General features: G+C 40.3%; 1 annotated feature.

Moving 5' to 3' along the window:
* Positions 5,080-5,259: a silencer, noted in NCBI's record as "silent region_2234". NCBI's record gives its function as "represses an Ori minimal core promoter by ATAC-STARR-seq in GM12878 lymphoblastoid cells {active_cell/tissue: GM12878}" and the evidence as "EXISTENCE:reporter gene assay evidence [ECO:0000049][PMID:35858748]".

The raw sequence follows: 16,903 nt of genomic DNA, 5'->3' as shown, positions 1-16,903 counted from the left end.
AGAGAGCGCGGGGCAACTGCCACTTTAAAACCATCAGATCTCGTGAGAACTCCCTCACTGTCACGAGAATAGTATGGGGGAAACTGCCCCCATGAGCCAATCACCTCCCACCAGGTCCCTCCCTCGGCACATGCGGATTACAGTTCGAGGTGAGATTTGGGTGGGAACACAGAGCCAAACCATATCAGGCTGGGCCCTGAGAAGAATCAGCATGGTCTTGAAAGATTGCCTTTAGGGAGGCCATTGTAGTTTCAAAACACACGATGAAACAAACAAATAATGATTGTAGAAAGGACAGATACATCCTGCTATAGTCAATAGAATATATACAGCCATGAGAATGGATAAACCATTACTACATGCATGAGCATGGATGAATTGCCCAGGCATAATATTAAGCAAAAGGTGAGACACTAAAGAGTATATGCTTTTATGATTCCTTTTTATAAAGTTTAAAATAGGCAAAACAAATGCATAGTCACAGAATTCAAAAGAGTGCTTCCCTTTGGGATGGGGAAGTTCCTGGGAAAGCTCTGATCCCACCTACTAAAATATACCCAAACATGTTTTCAGATAAGACCTTCATGGGGTGAGATCTATCCCTCTAAACCCTGAGGGCTTCCAAGTATCTCAGAATCAGTCTCGTTGGCATTCCTATTTTCATTCTTGTCTTTCACAACAAAACCAACCGTCATCCTGAGCATACCGACACGGGCAGCAGCTCCTTCCTCTGGTTCACCCCAAATCCTAAACGCCACACGGATTTCCTGTTCTCAGCTCCATGTCTTCAGATGTGGGCAGGCTGCTGGGCTCTCCTGCCTTCTGGTTCTCACTGAACTTTGCTCTTCCTCTTCCAATTCCTCAGTGCACTCATTTCCATTTGGCTGTTGGACTCACCCTTCCTCCAGCTGATGCTGCTCTCTGGCCTGGTCAAGACTTAACTGCCAATACCTCTCCCTCTCCCAGAACTGCACCCCCCTTTCTTCAGGGATCTGCCTCTCATTCCTAGTATTGTCTGGCTTATCCTTTGTTAAAAATAACAAGGGTTTTCCAGGAGGCAGAGGTTGCAGTGAGCCGAGATCATGCCACTGTACTCCAGCCTGGGTGACGGAGACAGACCGTCTCTCCAAAACAATAAATAAATAAATAAATACTAGGGTTTTCATGCAATTTCTGCTAATTGTCAGAGTTAGGACAAAGGAATGAGATATCCAGAGGAGGTGTGGAGGAGAGGAAAGGCAGAGGGAGAAAGAATGCAGAGAGGACTGAAAGTGAGGTCCGAGAAGTCTGTCATTAGAATAAAGAGGAATTCAGTTTTCTAGTTCCTCAGTGAAATGAAGGATTATAAACTATCAAAACTGGATGAATTGGCCGGGAATGGTGGCTCATGCCTATTATCCCAGCACTTTGGGAGGCCAAGACAGGCAGATCACCTGAGGTCAGGAGTTTGAGGCCAGCCTGGCCAACATGGTGAAACCTGTCTCTACTAAAAATACAAAAAATTAGCTGGGTGTGGAGAAGCGTCCTCTTGGGAGCCTGAGGCAGGAGAATCGCTTGAAACCGGGAGGCAAAAGTTGCAGTGAGCTGTGATCTTGCCACTGCACTCCAGCCTGGGCAACAGAGACTCCATCTCAAAAACAAACAAACAAGCAAAACAACGACAACAACAACAAAAAACAGAGTGAATTACTACATGACATAGATTCCTTTAACCTTACTTAATAATATATATGTGATTCAAAATGATACAAGTTAGCATAAAAAAGCTCAAAATTTAGCTGTAAAAACTTAACTAAATTTGAAATGCATGAAATTACATGTTACCGTGGGACCCAAGGGATTACACGTTAACTATTGCATTTTGATCAGTTTTGACCACCATCCCTGGTTCAAACAAGGTATCATAATAAGGCAGTTGTGGAATTTAATCCTTTGAGCAGAGCTGCTTGTTCCTCTAAAGAGAGAGTGATAAAAAAGATTCTTCCCCTCTCAGAATGATTTTGAGACCCACGGCAGAAACCAAAGGGAGAATGTGTTCCCCACTTCCTCAATCTAATCAGTGCATGCTCCAAGAAATGAATGAAAACATAAAAGATTTATAGCAAAGAGCATCAAGCATCAAGCCAAGACTCCACAAAAATTAAGTGTAAAGAATCAAGGATTTCATGGAATTTTATATTTCCCTTTGTGTTCACTCTGGAGATAAGAGTGGTTTAGATTGTTATTAGAATTGTTGACATTTCAGTGATCATTTTCTAGGAAAATAACTTTTTCTGAAAGGCACATTCTATAGCACAGCAGTCCTCAACCTTTTTGGCACCAGGGACTGGGTTCATGGAAGACAATTTTTCCAGACAAGGGTGGGTGGTGGGGGGATGGTTTGGGGATGATCGAAGTGCATTACATTTATTGTACACTTTATTTCTATTATTATTACATTGTAGCATATAATACAATAATTATATAATTCACCGTAATGTAGAATCAGTGGGAACCCTGAACTTGTTTTCCTGCAACTAGACTATCCCATCTGGAGGTGATAGGGTCAGTGACAGATCATCAGGCATTAGATTCCCTTAAAGATTGTACAAACTAAATCCCTTGCACACATGGTTCTCAACAGGGTTCACGCTCCTATGAGACTCTAATGCTGCTGCTGATCTGACAGGAGGTAGGGCTCAGGTGGTACTGTGAGTGATGGGAAGCATCTCTAAATATAGAGGAAGTTTTGCTCACTTGCCCACCCTAACCTCCTGCTGTGCAGCCTGGTTCCTAATATGCCACAGATCAGGACGGATCTGTGCCCTGGGGGTTGGGGAGCCCTGCCACAGCAGACACTAAAAATAGAAACTTTTCTTCATATATATGTATATATCTCTATTATTGGCTCTGGCTCATATTCTTATGTATTTATTTATTTTAGACACAGGGTCTCACTGTTGTCCGGGCTGGAGTGCAGTGGTGTGATCATGGCTCACTGCAATCTTGAGCTCCTGGGCTCAAGGGACTCTTATGCTTCAGCCTCCCGAGCAGCCAAGACTATAGGCATGAGCCTCCAAGCCTGGTCTACATATTCTAACTGGTTTAAAAAAAAATGTTGCACTTAACTAGTTACTTTGAAATGACAGTTTACAATAATGGAATTTAATTTAGCATACAGTTATTTTAGCAGATACTGAGATAATAATTCATGACCTGGGAGATGTCCCTAAAACTAAACATTCCTTCAGAGCAGTTAACTATTCTATTGAAAAGACTAATTTTTAAAAAAGAACCTTGTGGCTAAGCAACACAAAGATTTAAACTCTATTGACTGTCTTAGTGTAAATTTTCACTTGCTCTTCATGTGGAATCATGAGAGTTTGTCAGATGGAGCTGAGACAGAAATAAAGGCTCATGTGGGAGGCTGAGGCTGCCAGTCAAAGGGCTCACTATTGACTCACTCCCACTGGGAGACTGGGATGCCAGGACCTTCCACAATTTGATTGTTCACTGGGTTCTAACACCAAACCCAAGTCCACTCTGTCCACCTTGGGGATCTCATTATTAGAACCATCTATCAGCTGCCTCACTTTGCCAACATTAACTAGAAATGTGATTTCAATTCTGTATATCAGAAATGCAATTAAAATACATTGATTTTATTAATGAGTTTCATATTTCACAAAAGATTTGATGGAAAACAGATTTTTTTGAGACATTTCAAGGACTTTTCATAAGATATAAGTCTTCCCCCAAATCTTTGAGATGTGTTTTTTATCCCCATTTTACAGTTGAGGAATTTAAAACTTGGGATATGATGATAGTTTGTATCTAACTCCAGATTTATTTATTTATTTATTTATTTATTTATTTATTTATTTATTTATTTATTTATTTTTGAGACGGAGTCTCGCTCTGTCGCCCAGGCTGGAGTGCAGTGGCGCGATCTCGGCTCACTGCAAGCTCCGCCTCCTGGGTTCACGCCATTCTCCTGCCTCAGCCTCTCGAGTAGCTGGGGCTACAGGCACCCGTCACCACGCCCAGCTAATTTTCTGTATTTTTATTAGAGACAGGGTTTCATCGTGTTAGCCAGGATCGTCTCGATTTCCTGACCTCGTGATCCGCCCACCTCGGCCTCCCAAAGTGCTGGCATTACAGGCGTGAGCCACCGCACCCGGCCAACTCCAGATTTATTTGACTCCAAAGTTTGTGTTCTTTCATTTATCCTTACTTTTCCTCAAAAGAAAGGAGGCTAAAGCTATTGACTAAAAGAATGTTTAGAGATTAACAAATGCATTTCAACCCTGTATCCAATTCCTGTTACTATTACCAAAGATCTGAACAACCACAGAAACAGCTTATAACCTACCAAAACTCCAGAAGCAGTAAGTAGCATTAACCTCAAACAGGGAATCCGAACAACAAAATTCCTCTATAAAATATTTAATGACATTTTAACTTAGCATATGAGTAGTAATTCTCCTGAGAATAAAGCTGTTGTCTTGGATGAATATCATACCAGATTTAACTTATTATATGAGTAGTAATTCTCCTGAGAATAAAGCTGTTGTCTTGGATGAATATCATACAGGAGGTTGCTTATGAAACTGACACCTGGAATCCACTCCCACACTTACCCATGTTGTTCCCTTTTATGTTGATGTTACAGCCAGTTAAAAACAATTCTATCTGGACAGGTAGGTATGGTTAATAGCTAAGGTATTGTTAGCCATTAACATTTTGTTTCAAATTAGATAACCAGATTAACAAACTGGCCACTTAATAAGCCCCTCCTAGGAAATAGAAGCTAGGACATGTTAATTTTGAGGGAAGAGGTCAGAAAATTAGCAGAACATTGAATAAGTTTGGGTGGAATTCTGCATTGAAAAATAATTCCTGATGTGAAGAAAGACTCCATAAACCTCCATTAAGATGCTCTTCAATTCTAACATTTTATAATAAAATAATGTTACAGACAAGTGAACATTTTTATAACCTCATTTTTCTTAGGGTCAATTTTGCATAAAAAGAAAGTAAATCAATACCAGTTTCTGAAATTTCGAATATAGGAAATCATGCAAACAAAAACTCCCGCCATAATCCCTTGACAATATCTCTTCTCAGTGTACCCAAGAAGGCCAAAGGGTACCGTGACTGTCGAGCACACCAAGCTCCACGCGCCCTCTAGTGCATCCCTCTGGAAATGCAGCTACTAGTCCTAAGCTTAGGTATTTTCTCTGTTAAGAAAACAATTTCCAGAGCAGCTGTACTTAAAATCTGTTTATCCTGCATAGCCAACTCACCCTGAGGTGTTTCTCCAGGGTTCACATAAATTCGTTAAGTTAACTTAATCATTTCCCATCTATTCTCAAAGTTGACTTACAAGAACTCATAAAATATGACAAAATTGAAAACATTAGGCTGCATTGGATGAGAAAAGATAACAAGGGTGAGGCAAAGTGATCAAGAAATTAAATCAAAATACATGTAAAATAACAACTGACCATCCTCCCATCGATGATATATTTAGCTGTGTATTAATCAGGATGCACCAGGTTCTACTATGGTAAAGACAGCTCCCAAATCTCAGGAGTTTTTGACAACAGTGCTTTAATTTCTCTTTCGTTACAGATCTCAGGCTTATTTTTGGTTTCTAAGCGAATGGAGCAGCCATTGTCACTCACACTGCCTGCCACCATGGCAGAGGGGAAGAGCTTTGAAAAATCTTGCATTAGCAATTAAATGCTCTGATCACATCATTTCTACTCACTCTCATTGGCCAGAACTTGCCTCATGTCTCTACCCACAAGAGAGGGGAAAAGTCAGGTCTTCCATGTGTAAGGAGAGGAGGCAGAAATTTGTGGACAGCTGAAAGCCCACTACAGCGTTCCCAGGCAGGGTCAAAAAGGAAACCAGAACAGATCTGACTCAGAGTGTTCATGAAATTAAAAGCAAATACAACAGCTCAGTAAAATTCCAAGTCTTTTTGATTCTAGGGTCAGACAAGAATTTCTCCAGGATTCCTCATAGGACAAGGTATAACATAAATCATGTCATCATAATGCATTTGTGGCCTTTTCTTATAAGGCTCTTGTATAGGTTTATGACATTACAATAATCTACAGTTTGTCTAAACAATACTCTCTGGAAGAGTCGAATTATAGGTATCTTCCTCTTTGCTAAACTTCTGCATCAGAGACATATGTAAGCATTCCACCTTGCACACTGTGTTTAGTTATTTGAAGGGCAGTGAACACTAGGTTGTGTTCTCGAGGAAGCTTCTGGACAAGAGCTAGTTCTTTGCTTATAGGTGAGAACCAACTCACCTTCCTTCTCCCTTCCCTTCCCATCCCTTCCCTTCCCTTCCCTTCCCTATCCTTCCCCTCCCTTCCCCCTTCCCTTCCCTTCCCTTCCCTTCCCTTCCCTTCCCTTCCCTTCCCTTCCCTTCCCTTCCCTTCCCTTCCCTTCCCTTCCCTTCCCTTCCCTTCCCTTCCCTTCCCTTCCCTTCCCTTCCCTTCCCTTCCCTTCCCTTCCCTTCCCTTCCCTTCCCTTCCCTTCCCTTCCCTTCCCTTCCCTTCCTTTCCTTTCCTTTCCTTTCCTTTCCCTCCTCTCTTCTTCTCTTCTCTTTTTCTTTTTCTTGACAGGGTCTTGGTCTGTCTGCCAGGCTGAAGTGTGCCATCATAGCTCACTGCCAGCAACGTCAAACTCCTAGGCTCAAGTGAACCTCTCACCTCAGCCTCCCAAGTAGTTAGGACTACAGGCTCATGCCTGGCTAATTTTTTAATTCTTTTTTTTTTGTAGAGACTGGGTCTCACTATGTTGCCCAGGCTGTTCTCAAGCAATCCTCCCTCCTTGGCCTTCCAAAGCACTGGGATTACAGGCATGACCCACTGCATCTGGTTCCAAATTATCTTTCTTAATCATGATCAACTAAGGGTTGGTTAAGATCCAAATATGGAAACTGAGGAGCCAAGAGGGGCTCTTTCGTAACCAGAATCCATGCTAGTGTTCTGAGGTGAGCTGAGAGAGGAACCAAAATTTGGGCCAAGATCGTTTCCAGACAGTTCTGAATTTTTCTAATTGTACAGATAAGTGGTCAATTAATAGATTTTCCATGGTTCTATTTCATTGCCAGGGGCAAAATAGTTTTAGCCTGAAATTTGTAAGACAAGGCATAACTAGACCTTCATTTCAGCCACCTTAAACTACCATCCGAATGCCCAGGTTTGAACAATTCTACTTCTAGAAGAATCCACAATAAAACAAATGTTTGAGAAGGCTTTCCATCCTGAACTTTTATAATAAAATAATGTCACAAATTTTATAATAAAATAATACTATTTTATTAATAATAATTTTGCCTAGGAATTCTATGTATTACCAATTTAAAAGCTGGAGACTTGTCTTCTAAAACAATAATAATAATAAACTTTAATTGACTGTTTGCTGTGGCCAAGCAGTGTGGTAAGTAAGCACTTCAAATGTAGTATCTCATTTAATTTTACGGGCAAAATCTGTTACTACTCCTAATCTACAGATGAGGTAGAGTGAGGTCATATAATTTGTCTAAGGTCAAACAGGCTAACAAATGATAGAGCTAAGGGTTTTGACAAGACATCTAAATCTAGAACACATGTGCTTAGCAACTACATTTTCACCTTTCATGAATAATATCTTCATTTTTAGGAAAATATAGCTATGGTTCTTATGCAGAGAGATAATTTACTAGCAGGGTCAGTACTTGTCAGCTTTAGATAGTAAAAGCATCAACTGCATATGGAGGCAAACTGGTTTTCCTACTTTTGGTACACCAGCTGCACCCAAAATTGGTAATTGATTGACTACTAGAAAACAAGTTTGGGTTTTTTTTGTTTGTTTTTTTTGTTTTTTGTTTTTTTTTAAAGGGACTCAGCAAAACTGCTGTGTTTTCCTTTGCAGGAAGATTTATTTTATTTTATTTTATTTTTCAACTTTTATTTTATGTTCCAGGGCACACGTGCAGGAGATGCAGGTCTGTTACATAGGTAAACGTGTGCCATGGTGGTTTGCATTTTTTTAGGTACAATGTCTTGCTCTGCTGCCCAGGCTGGAGTGCAGTGGTGTGCTTATGGTTCACTGTAGCCTCGACCCCCCTGGGCTTAGGTGATCCTCCTGCCTCAGCCTCCCAAGTTACTGGACTACAGGCAAGTGCTACCATGTCCAGCTATTTTTTTTAATTTTAATTTTTGTAGATATGGGCATCTTGCCATGTTGCCAAGCTTGGTCTTGAACTCCAGGCCTCAAGCAATCCTCTCGTCTCAGCCTCCCAAAGTGCTGGGATTATAGCCATAAGCCACTGTGCCCGGCCTGCAGGAAATTTTAACTACTGTCAGAAAGCCACTCCCACCGTCTCTTGTTCATATTAATATGGTTTAGTTCTCCATGAGCACCAAAACCCAAGGATCTATAACATTCTCCTACAACTTAGTCCCAAAACAACTTTTGTTCTGGAATTAAAGGCAAAAAAAAAAAAATCCTATTTAGTGTTGCAGACTTTGACCTACATCTGATGGCTTAAACAGCTGTCCACACTGCACTTTGTTCAGGAAACTAGCTTCAAGTAGCTCATTTTCAACAAACTTATCCTGGGTAAAGAGCACAACATCAAGTGGCAGTACTGCTGAGTTGTCATCGTCATCATCCACACAGGCAGCCCAAAGTCTCTTTGTCTGAAATGTTCTGGTTCTCTTGAAAGAGGTCATTCCTAATGTGTGAAGTACTTTTGAAGGATGATCTTCCATGCTAGTCATTGTGTTTTGATACTTATTGATTGAGAAAATATGTGATGACAAATACTACTGTAAATTCAGCCTCATCTTTGAGTGCATTTATGTAACTCTACTAGTAATCACATCCCTACCTATATATATTTTATTTATATTCGTACATATACAGCATTTATTCAGTCTATAAACAAAGTTTAACCCATATATGAACTCAAAGACACCTTATAGTAGCTCCAAGACATCCAGGACTTATTACAAATAAGTTGAATATACCTATTTTCTACTTTCATGAACTCTCTAAAGCTACTAACAGTTCTCTTCACACCCCAACCCCTCCATCCCCACCCCACTGGAACTCCATGAAAATTTTATAACTTTGAAGCCAAAACAAAATCTGAAGTAGATAGAACTTTCCTTAAAACTTACATGCAAGCTGGACACTGTGGTGCATGCCTGTAATCCCAGCTACTTGGGAGGCTGAGGCAGGAGGATCACTTGAGGCCAAGAGTTTGAGGCTGCAATAAACTATGGTCATAGCACTGCACTCTAGCCTGGCAGCAACATAGTAAGATCCCATCTCTAAACAACAACAATGACAACAACAAAATACTACATGTATATGGCTGAAATGCTTAGGGGTGAAATGTACTGATGTGTACTTCAGAAAATGAAATGGATAGAAAAGTGGATCGATGAAAACATAATAAAGCAATCTGGCAAAATGTTAACAATTATCGAATCTAGGTTGGTTGGATATATGTGTGTGTATTAGTCTGTTCTCATGCTGCTAATAAAGACATACCCAAAATTGGGTAATTTGTAAAGGAAAGAGGTTTAACGGACTCACAGTTCCACGTGGCTAGGGAGGCCTCACAATCATGGTGGAAAGCAAGGAGGAGCAAAACCACATCTTACATGTTGGCAGGCAAGAGAGAGCTTGTGCAGGGAAACTCCCATTTATAAAGCCATCTTGTGAGACTATCAGACCATCAGACTATCATAAGAATGGTATGGGGGAAACTGTCCCCATGATTCAATTATCTCCACCTGGCCTCATCCTTGACACATGGGGATCATTACAATTCAAGGTGAGATTTGGGTGAGGACACAGCCAAACCATATCAGTGTGCTTACTGTAAAATTCTTTCAATTTTTCTCTGTATTTGAACTTTCACATAAAAAGGGAGGAATACATGCATGATTCTTATAATTATTTCATACATAGAGACTATATGTATAATATTTGGATACAATTATCATACAAATTTACAACATAAAATTCTGTTAATTAATTAATTAATTAATTTTATTTTTAAACAGAGTCTTGCTTTGTCTCCCAGGCTGGAGGGCAATGGTGCGATCTTGGTTCACTGCAACCTCTGCCTCCCAGGTTCAAGTGATTCTCCTGCCTCAGCCTTGGAGTACCTGGGATTACAGGCACCTGCCACCACACCCAGCTAATTTTTGTATTTTTAGTAGAGGCGGGGTTTCACCATGCTGGCCAGGCCGGTCTTGAATTCCTGACCTCAGGTGATCCATCTGCCTCGGCCTCCCAAAGTGTTGGGATTACAGACATGAACCACTACACCAGGCCTAGTTAATTTTCAGTATTAAAATCAGCTCCTTTCAGACTAGGGAAATACTCTTCTCATGTCTCTTGGCCTCCTTCCCTCTCCTGACCCTAATCCCCAGTTGGAAAAACCTGCAGAACATCTGCCATAGGCTAGGACCTCAAGAATGGGAGGGAGGAGAAGAGTCGTCTCTGAGCTGGTCTCTGGGCAGAGCTGTGCTGTAGGGCTGGCCCCAAAATAGGTAGACAGAAATCCAAATTACAGGTTTTGTTTGTTTGTTTTTTGTTTTTGTTTTTGAGACGGAGTCTCACTCTGTCGCCCAGGCTGGAGTGCAGTGGCGTGATCTCGGCTCACTGCAAGCTCCGTCTCCCGAGTTCATGCCAGTCTCCTGCCTCAGCCTCCTGAGTAGCTGGGACTACAGGCGCTCGCCACCACGGCCGGCTAATTTTTTTGTATTTTTAGTAGAGACAGGGTTTCACCGTGTTAGCCAGGATGCTCTCGATTTCCTGACCTCATGATCTGCCCTCCTCGGCCTCCCAAAGTGCTGGGATTACAGGTGTGAGCCACCGCGCCCGGCCCCAAATTACAGTTTTAAAGGGAGAATGACATGTAGGTCTGATGTGGGCTGTTGCTGGCATTCCACAAGGTGCTGGGCTTAATAAGGCATCAAGAGCAAGTCCAGATCTTAAAAATTAGGGAGATTGGAACCTCGAATGCCCTATTAAACTTGCTTTCATTCGCTTAAAGACTGGGAAGGGCTGAACCCCTAGGTTGAAGGCTCTTGGTACCTGGAGCTGAGCAGGATAAAATAGAGAATATCCTGGCACCCCAGGCAGGAAACACTTCAGGGGCCACCCAAGGGCCTCTGTTGACACGGGTTCTGGGCACCCAAGGGAGTTAAGGGGAGCCACCTTAGAGATAGGGCCTCCTTAGTTCATTAGTGTGTCTCAGAACAGCCTTTTGGAGTTTGTTCCACTTTTTATTATAAAAGGAATTAGGCTTTTCTTTAAACATTTTCTTAAATATTTAATGGACTTTTTGGAGCGCCAAATTTCCATTGAGGCCTGAGGTTGGGAAGAGGATGCTACAAGTTTATTATCTTAAACTCCACTTTGATACAGTGCTGTGCAAGATCAAAACCTGAGAATTTTATTGCCTTTCTGAAAAAGGGAGGGGTAATGTCAATAAGGACACTTATGTCAAATATATTATCCTGTGACAGTTTAATAGGAATGAGTTCCCGCGCTTATGTCGTTTGGCAAGGACTTGAATGTCAACTTAATTTTTCTGCCTCCCTTCTCTCTCAACTAACCACGTGCTCACAAAATCAAATACATGTGATCCACATTCGTGTTGTTCACTTATGATCAATGACAATTTATCACGGGAATTCTGAATATATAGGTGAACAAACAGAGAACCCAGTTTTCCCCAAATGATCACTCTTGTGAATGGTTATCTATCTTTAGCTGATGTTTGTTCTCATAAATCCTCAGCATATAATCCCATCCATAGATCTGCCAGAACCAAAGTGCACTGGGAATTATAATCACATACATGAAAGATTTTCTAGCATATAAAGAAGAGTGACTTTATGGTCCTATTCACCTGTATTCTATACTCTGATGTTAGAACCACCTAGAAATATTCTATCTTTGATGTTATCAGACACCTGTATTTTGCCTCAGCATTTAGTCATCCATAAACACAATTTGTTACTGTATGTACCATTTGCTTATAAAGATCAGCACTGAATTTCATAGTGATATACTGATGACAGGACAAGTCACTTTATTGTTCAGAATGTCAGGGATTTCCAGTGGAGAGGTATGTCCATGTCCTAACTCCAGAGCCTGTGAACGTGACCACATATGGAAAAAGGGTCTCTGCAGATGCAACTAAATTAAGGATCTTGATAGGAAATCACCCTGCATTATCAGGGAGGGCTCTAAATCCTTCAATCCAATCAACTGACACCTAATATTAACCATCACATTAGATAATAGAATAGGGGAGCAAAGGAAGATCAAAAGTACAAAATACACTGGGGGAAAATATATATACCCAAATCATTTTAGTCACAAATATCAAATGCTGCTACCATGATTTTTACCATTTATGCTTCCAGCATTTTATATGGTACAAAACAAAGTAAAACAACACAACACAATACATGTAAAGTAAATCAAAACTGGTAGTGTAATGACTTCAACTCAGAGGATTACAAAACACTTTGTTAAAATATATATATTTTAGGGTCTCACTTGTCACCCAGACTGGAGTGCACATGATCTCAGCTCTCTGCAACCTTGATCTCCTGGGCTCAGGTAATCCTCCCACCTTAGCCTCCCAGGTAGCTGAGACTGCAGGTGTGTGTTAGCACACCCAGCTAATTTTTTATTTTGTTTTGTAGAGACAGGGTTTCACCGTGTTGCCCGGGTTGGCCTTGAATTTCTGGGCTTAAGCCATCTGCTAGGCTGGTCTTGAACTCCTGGGCTCAAGTGATCGGCCTGCCTTGGCCTTCCAAAGTGCTGGGATTTCAGGTGTGAGCCACTGCAACTGACCTAAAAACATATATCATTTGGTCAACAAAGAGTTCAACCTAGAATAAGGGCCCAACCAAAAATGGAAACCTTTTTATTTGGAAAAGAGAAAAATGAATTTCAACATAAGTGAATTTAGTTATATGTAAGATTAAAATATCAACGATAATTTCTTACTCCTTTTAGTGTAAGTTGCCTCAAATCCTCAGTGGAATAAAACTGATATATAGCATTCAATCAATTCATCAAGATAAAACAAAAGGTAAAATTTCAACTGTGTCATGCATGCTTCTATTTCTAAAATCTTATTTTCCATTTTTTAATTTTCTCAATACTGTTGCAGTATTTTAAAATGTTTACCAAACTTTGTCTTTAGATTTTCAAAGCTGAATTTATCCTCGCCTCCTGCCCACTAATTTACTCATTTGTTTATTTCCCACTCCCTGTCAATGGCACCTTCATTTTCTGCATTACAAAAGCTTAATTTTTTGAGTCATCGTTGACTCATTCTTCTTATCTTTTGATTTTAGTCACCATGAAATCCTATATAATTGTTTTGCAAGATATCTCTGGATTGCATCCATTTGCTTATAATTGCATAACCTCATGGCCTTGTCCTCGTGTAGCCTAAATACTCCTTGTGTACCTGAATCTCTGTGCTATGTCAGTTCAGAGAAATAAAAAATAAAATTGATTACTACTCAAGACTTTACTCAGTCTCTTAAGAACTTTGCAGTCTAAGTAGTTAAGAACCAAGGTCTGAAGCCAGATTGCCTGAGTTAAAAACGGACTCTGACAATTCCTAGTAGTGCCTCAGTTACTTCATCTGTAAAATGGGAGTAATAATGGTACTTTAAACATCGTAGGATTATAGTGACAACAAAATGACTTAACACATGTAAAGCATTTATAACGCGGCCTGGTATATGAAAAGCTATTATTATTATTAGTTTTCTTATTGTTAAAAAACCATTATTAGTCTTTGTCACTAGCAAAGGAGATAGCAGTTGTTTTCTCTAATTTATTTCTCATCTCCACTCTCTACTGCCCACCCAAATCCTCCTCCAGAAGCCAGCCTACACTGCTCCCACTGTCTCTGGCAATTTTTTCAACTTGGTGGATCCTTTTCTTGCCTTTTCCAAGGCAAAATTCGCTAGCCCATCTCTGATTCTTTCAGATTTTTCAAACTTTCTACCAAAAGGAAGATGGCGAAACGAGTCTATCAGGCACAGGTGATAAAGGATGCATCCACTACAGAGAATTTCAAAAACAACAATGGAGGCCGGGTGCAGTAGCTCACGCCTGTAATCCCAGCACTTTGGGAGGCCGAGGCAGGTGGATTATGAGGTCAGGAGATCAAGACTATCCTGGCTAACACGGTGAAACCCCATCTCTACTAAAAATACAAAAAAATTAGCCGGGCGTGGTGGTGGGCACCTGCAGTCCCAGTTACTCGGGAGGCTGAGGCAGGAGAATGGTGTGAACCTGGGAGATGGAGCTTGCAGCGCGCTGAGATCACGCCACTGCACTCCAGCCTGGGCGATAGAACAAGACTCTGTATCAAAAAAAAAAAAAATCAATGGAATTGATAAAAAGTCTGTTTGACTCTAATCTTTACCATATGCTGGCAACTACTGAAAATATCTGTAAAAGTCAAGGCACAGTGGCATGTGCCTGTAGGCTCAGCTGCTCTGGAAGCTGAGGCAGCAAGAGGATTGCACCCAGGAGTTCAAATCCATTCTGGGCAACATAGTAAGAGCTGGTCTCTTAAAAAAAAAAAAAAAAAAAGAGCAATAAGTGATAAACTGCTCTTTCCTTCTCCCTTCCAAATATGTTATTGATCTAATTTCTGTAGTTGCTGTTGAGTTTTAACAGCATAAATATATATATATATATATAAAATGTACACATATATACATTTTACATGAATATATGTATAAGCTTTATATTATTTCATTTTTATTACTTATCCTCTAGTCAACATTAGATTCTACCTGTAAATTAATTCTGAGAGCTCCCAGTTAACATAGTTGTCCCTGACACATGTGAACTAAAATTCCCATATTGTTTTGACAATACGTTTATGAGTGTTTAGAGCCATTCCAGCAGGTACAAGCACAATCTCTGTTCAACTCTTGTGGTATTGCATATTCTTGCACTTAGACAGTAGTTTTAAAATAAGCAGTGGTATCACAGTGACTGTAAAGACAAAGAAACTGAACTTAAATTTCTTCAATTTTGACATTTTATGTGACCAATCAGAGTTTTGCTTTGAGTTTGAAGTTTAAAACAGCGAAACAAAGAATGTAAAATTGAAATGTATAATTTACTGAATTCGAATAGCCTGAAAACTTCTTCTTTTTAAATTGTTGTTTCAAACCTAAGGAATACATCAAGAAAATAATGATTAATACTAGATAACTGCATGATTATTACTGAAAATAATTATTTCATCCACAGCAGGGGCTGTTAAAAGTGATTTGTCTCTGTGTATCAAATATCCTCATAGTAGCTTTCTTTCAATATCCTTGGTCTGCATGACACAAGACACAAAGCCTGATTGTTCTGACTTGGCATCCTTCTCAGAAAAGGGCTTGTGAAGGCTGGGAAAACTCATATGCATTAGTAACTCTTGTACAGTTCATGGATTACTGAATTGGCCTTTTAGATAACCTTACTGCACCAGGTTGTGACTTTCTGTTAAACTTTACTTTCAAACTCTAACTCTTTTGCTCAATCCCACACCAGCACAAAAAATCTAAACTTCTCTGCCTGGTTCTCAAAGTCTCCCACAGTGACTCTGTCCCCATCTCACCATTCATGTGTACCTCTTTCTATCTCCCGTTTCACTGAAAATGTAAGAATTACAATTTACCATCTATGCAGCCTCTTGGTTTGAACAAACAACAATGATAGTAATTATACTGAATCAATTACTGAACATTGTGATGATCTGCTATTATCCATCATTGATAGTTGTTCACAAGAAGAATGTAAGCTTCTATTGGATGAGGAGGGGATTATAGAAATGTTACATATTCATCACAATGCTTAATCTGGGGCCAAGGACAGGTTATTCCTTGAAGTTACTCTTTCAGTCCCTCATATGGTTTGGCTGTGTCCCCACCCAAATCTTGTCTTGAATTACAGCTCCCACAATTCCCATGTGTTGTGGGATGGACCTAGTGGGAGGTAATTGAATCATGGGGTCGGGTCTTTCCCATGCTGTTCTCATGATAGTGAATACGTCTCATGAGATCTGATGGTTTTATAAAGGGGAGTTCCTCTACACACGCTCTCTTGCCTGCTGCCATGTAAGACATGCCTTGGCTCCTCCTTCACCTTCCGCCATGATTGTGAGGCCTCCCCAGCCATGTAGAACTAACTGTGAGTCCATTAAACCTCTTTCCTTTATAAATTATGCAGTCTCAGGTATACCTTTATTAGAAGCATGAGAACAGACTAATACAGTCCCTAAAGTGCTGTGAAATGCCGTCTGAACTTGCCCTGTCCTCTACATTTTCACTTGAAGGCATGCTTTAGTCAGTGAGCTAAAACTACTCTCCCCATACCATGTTCCCATTGTTATATTATTCTACTGCTGAAACAAGTAATGTGATTTCACCCTTAAAGAAAAGAAGTGTGTTAAGGGAGAATGTTCCCTGTGTCATGTTCATACCAATTTTAATTTCTGACCCTACCTCAGTTGTTCAGCTCATGTTTTCCTTTCCTCTGGTTTGGATCATGTCTTTCTTGTGTAGCTATTGTTTTTCTTGCATCCTATTTTATTTTCCATTTTTCAAATCTTCTTCTTATATGCCTATACCATATCAACATGATCCATTCACTTAATCATATTTACTTCAGTAAGTCTACTTCCTCCTTGGAAACACTCCTTCCGTAGCCCTCAAACTTTCTGTTTCCATGGAATTAGTTGCTCTCTAGAACTCTGACAGCCATCTTTTTTTTTTTTTTTATTTTTTGTTGACACGAAATCTTGCTCTGTTGCCCAGGCTGGAATGCAGGGCTGTGATCTTGGCTC

This window comes from Homo sapiens, chromosome 10, assembly GCF_000001405.40.
Source record: "Homo sapiens chromosome 10, GRCh38.p14 Primary Assembly".
Taxonomy (NCBI): Eukaryota; Metazoa; Chordata; class Mammalia; order Primates; family Hominidae; genus Homo; species Homo sapiens.
Note: the sequence above shows the minus strand (reverse complement) of the source record. Positions and strands in the feature narration are given on the sequence as shown.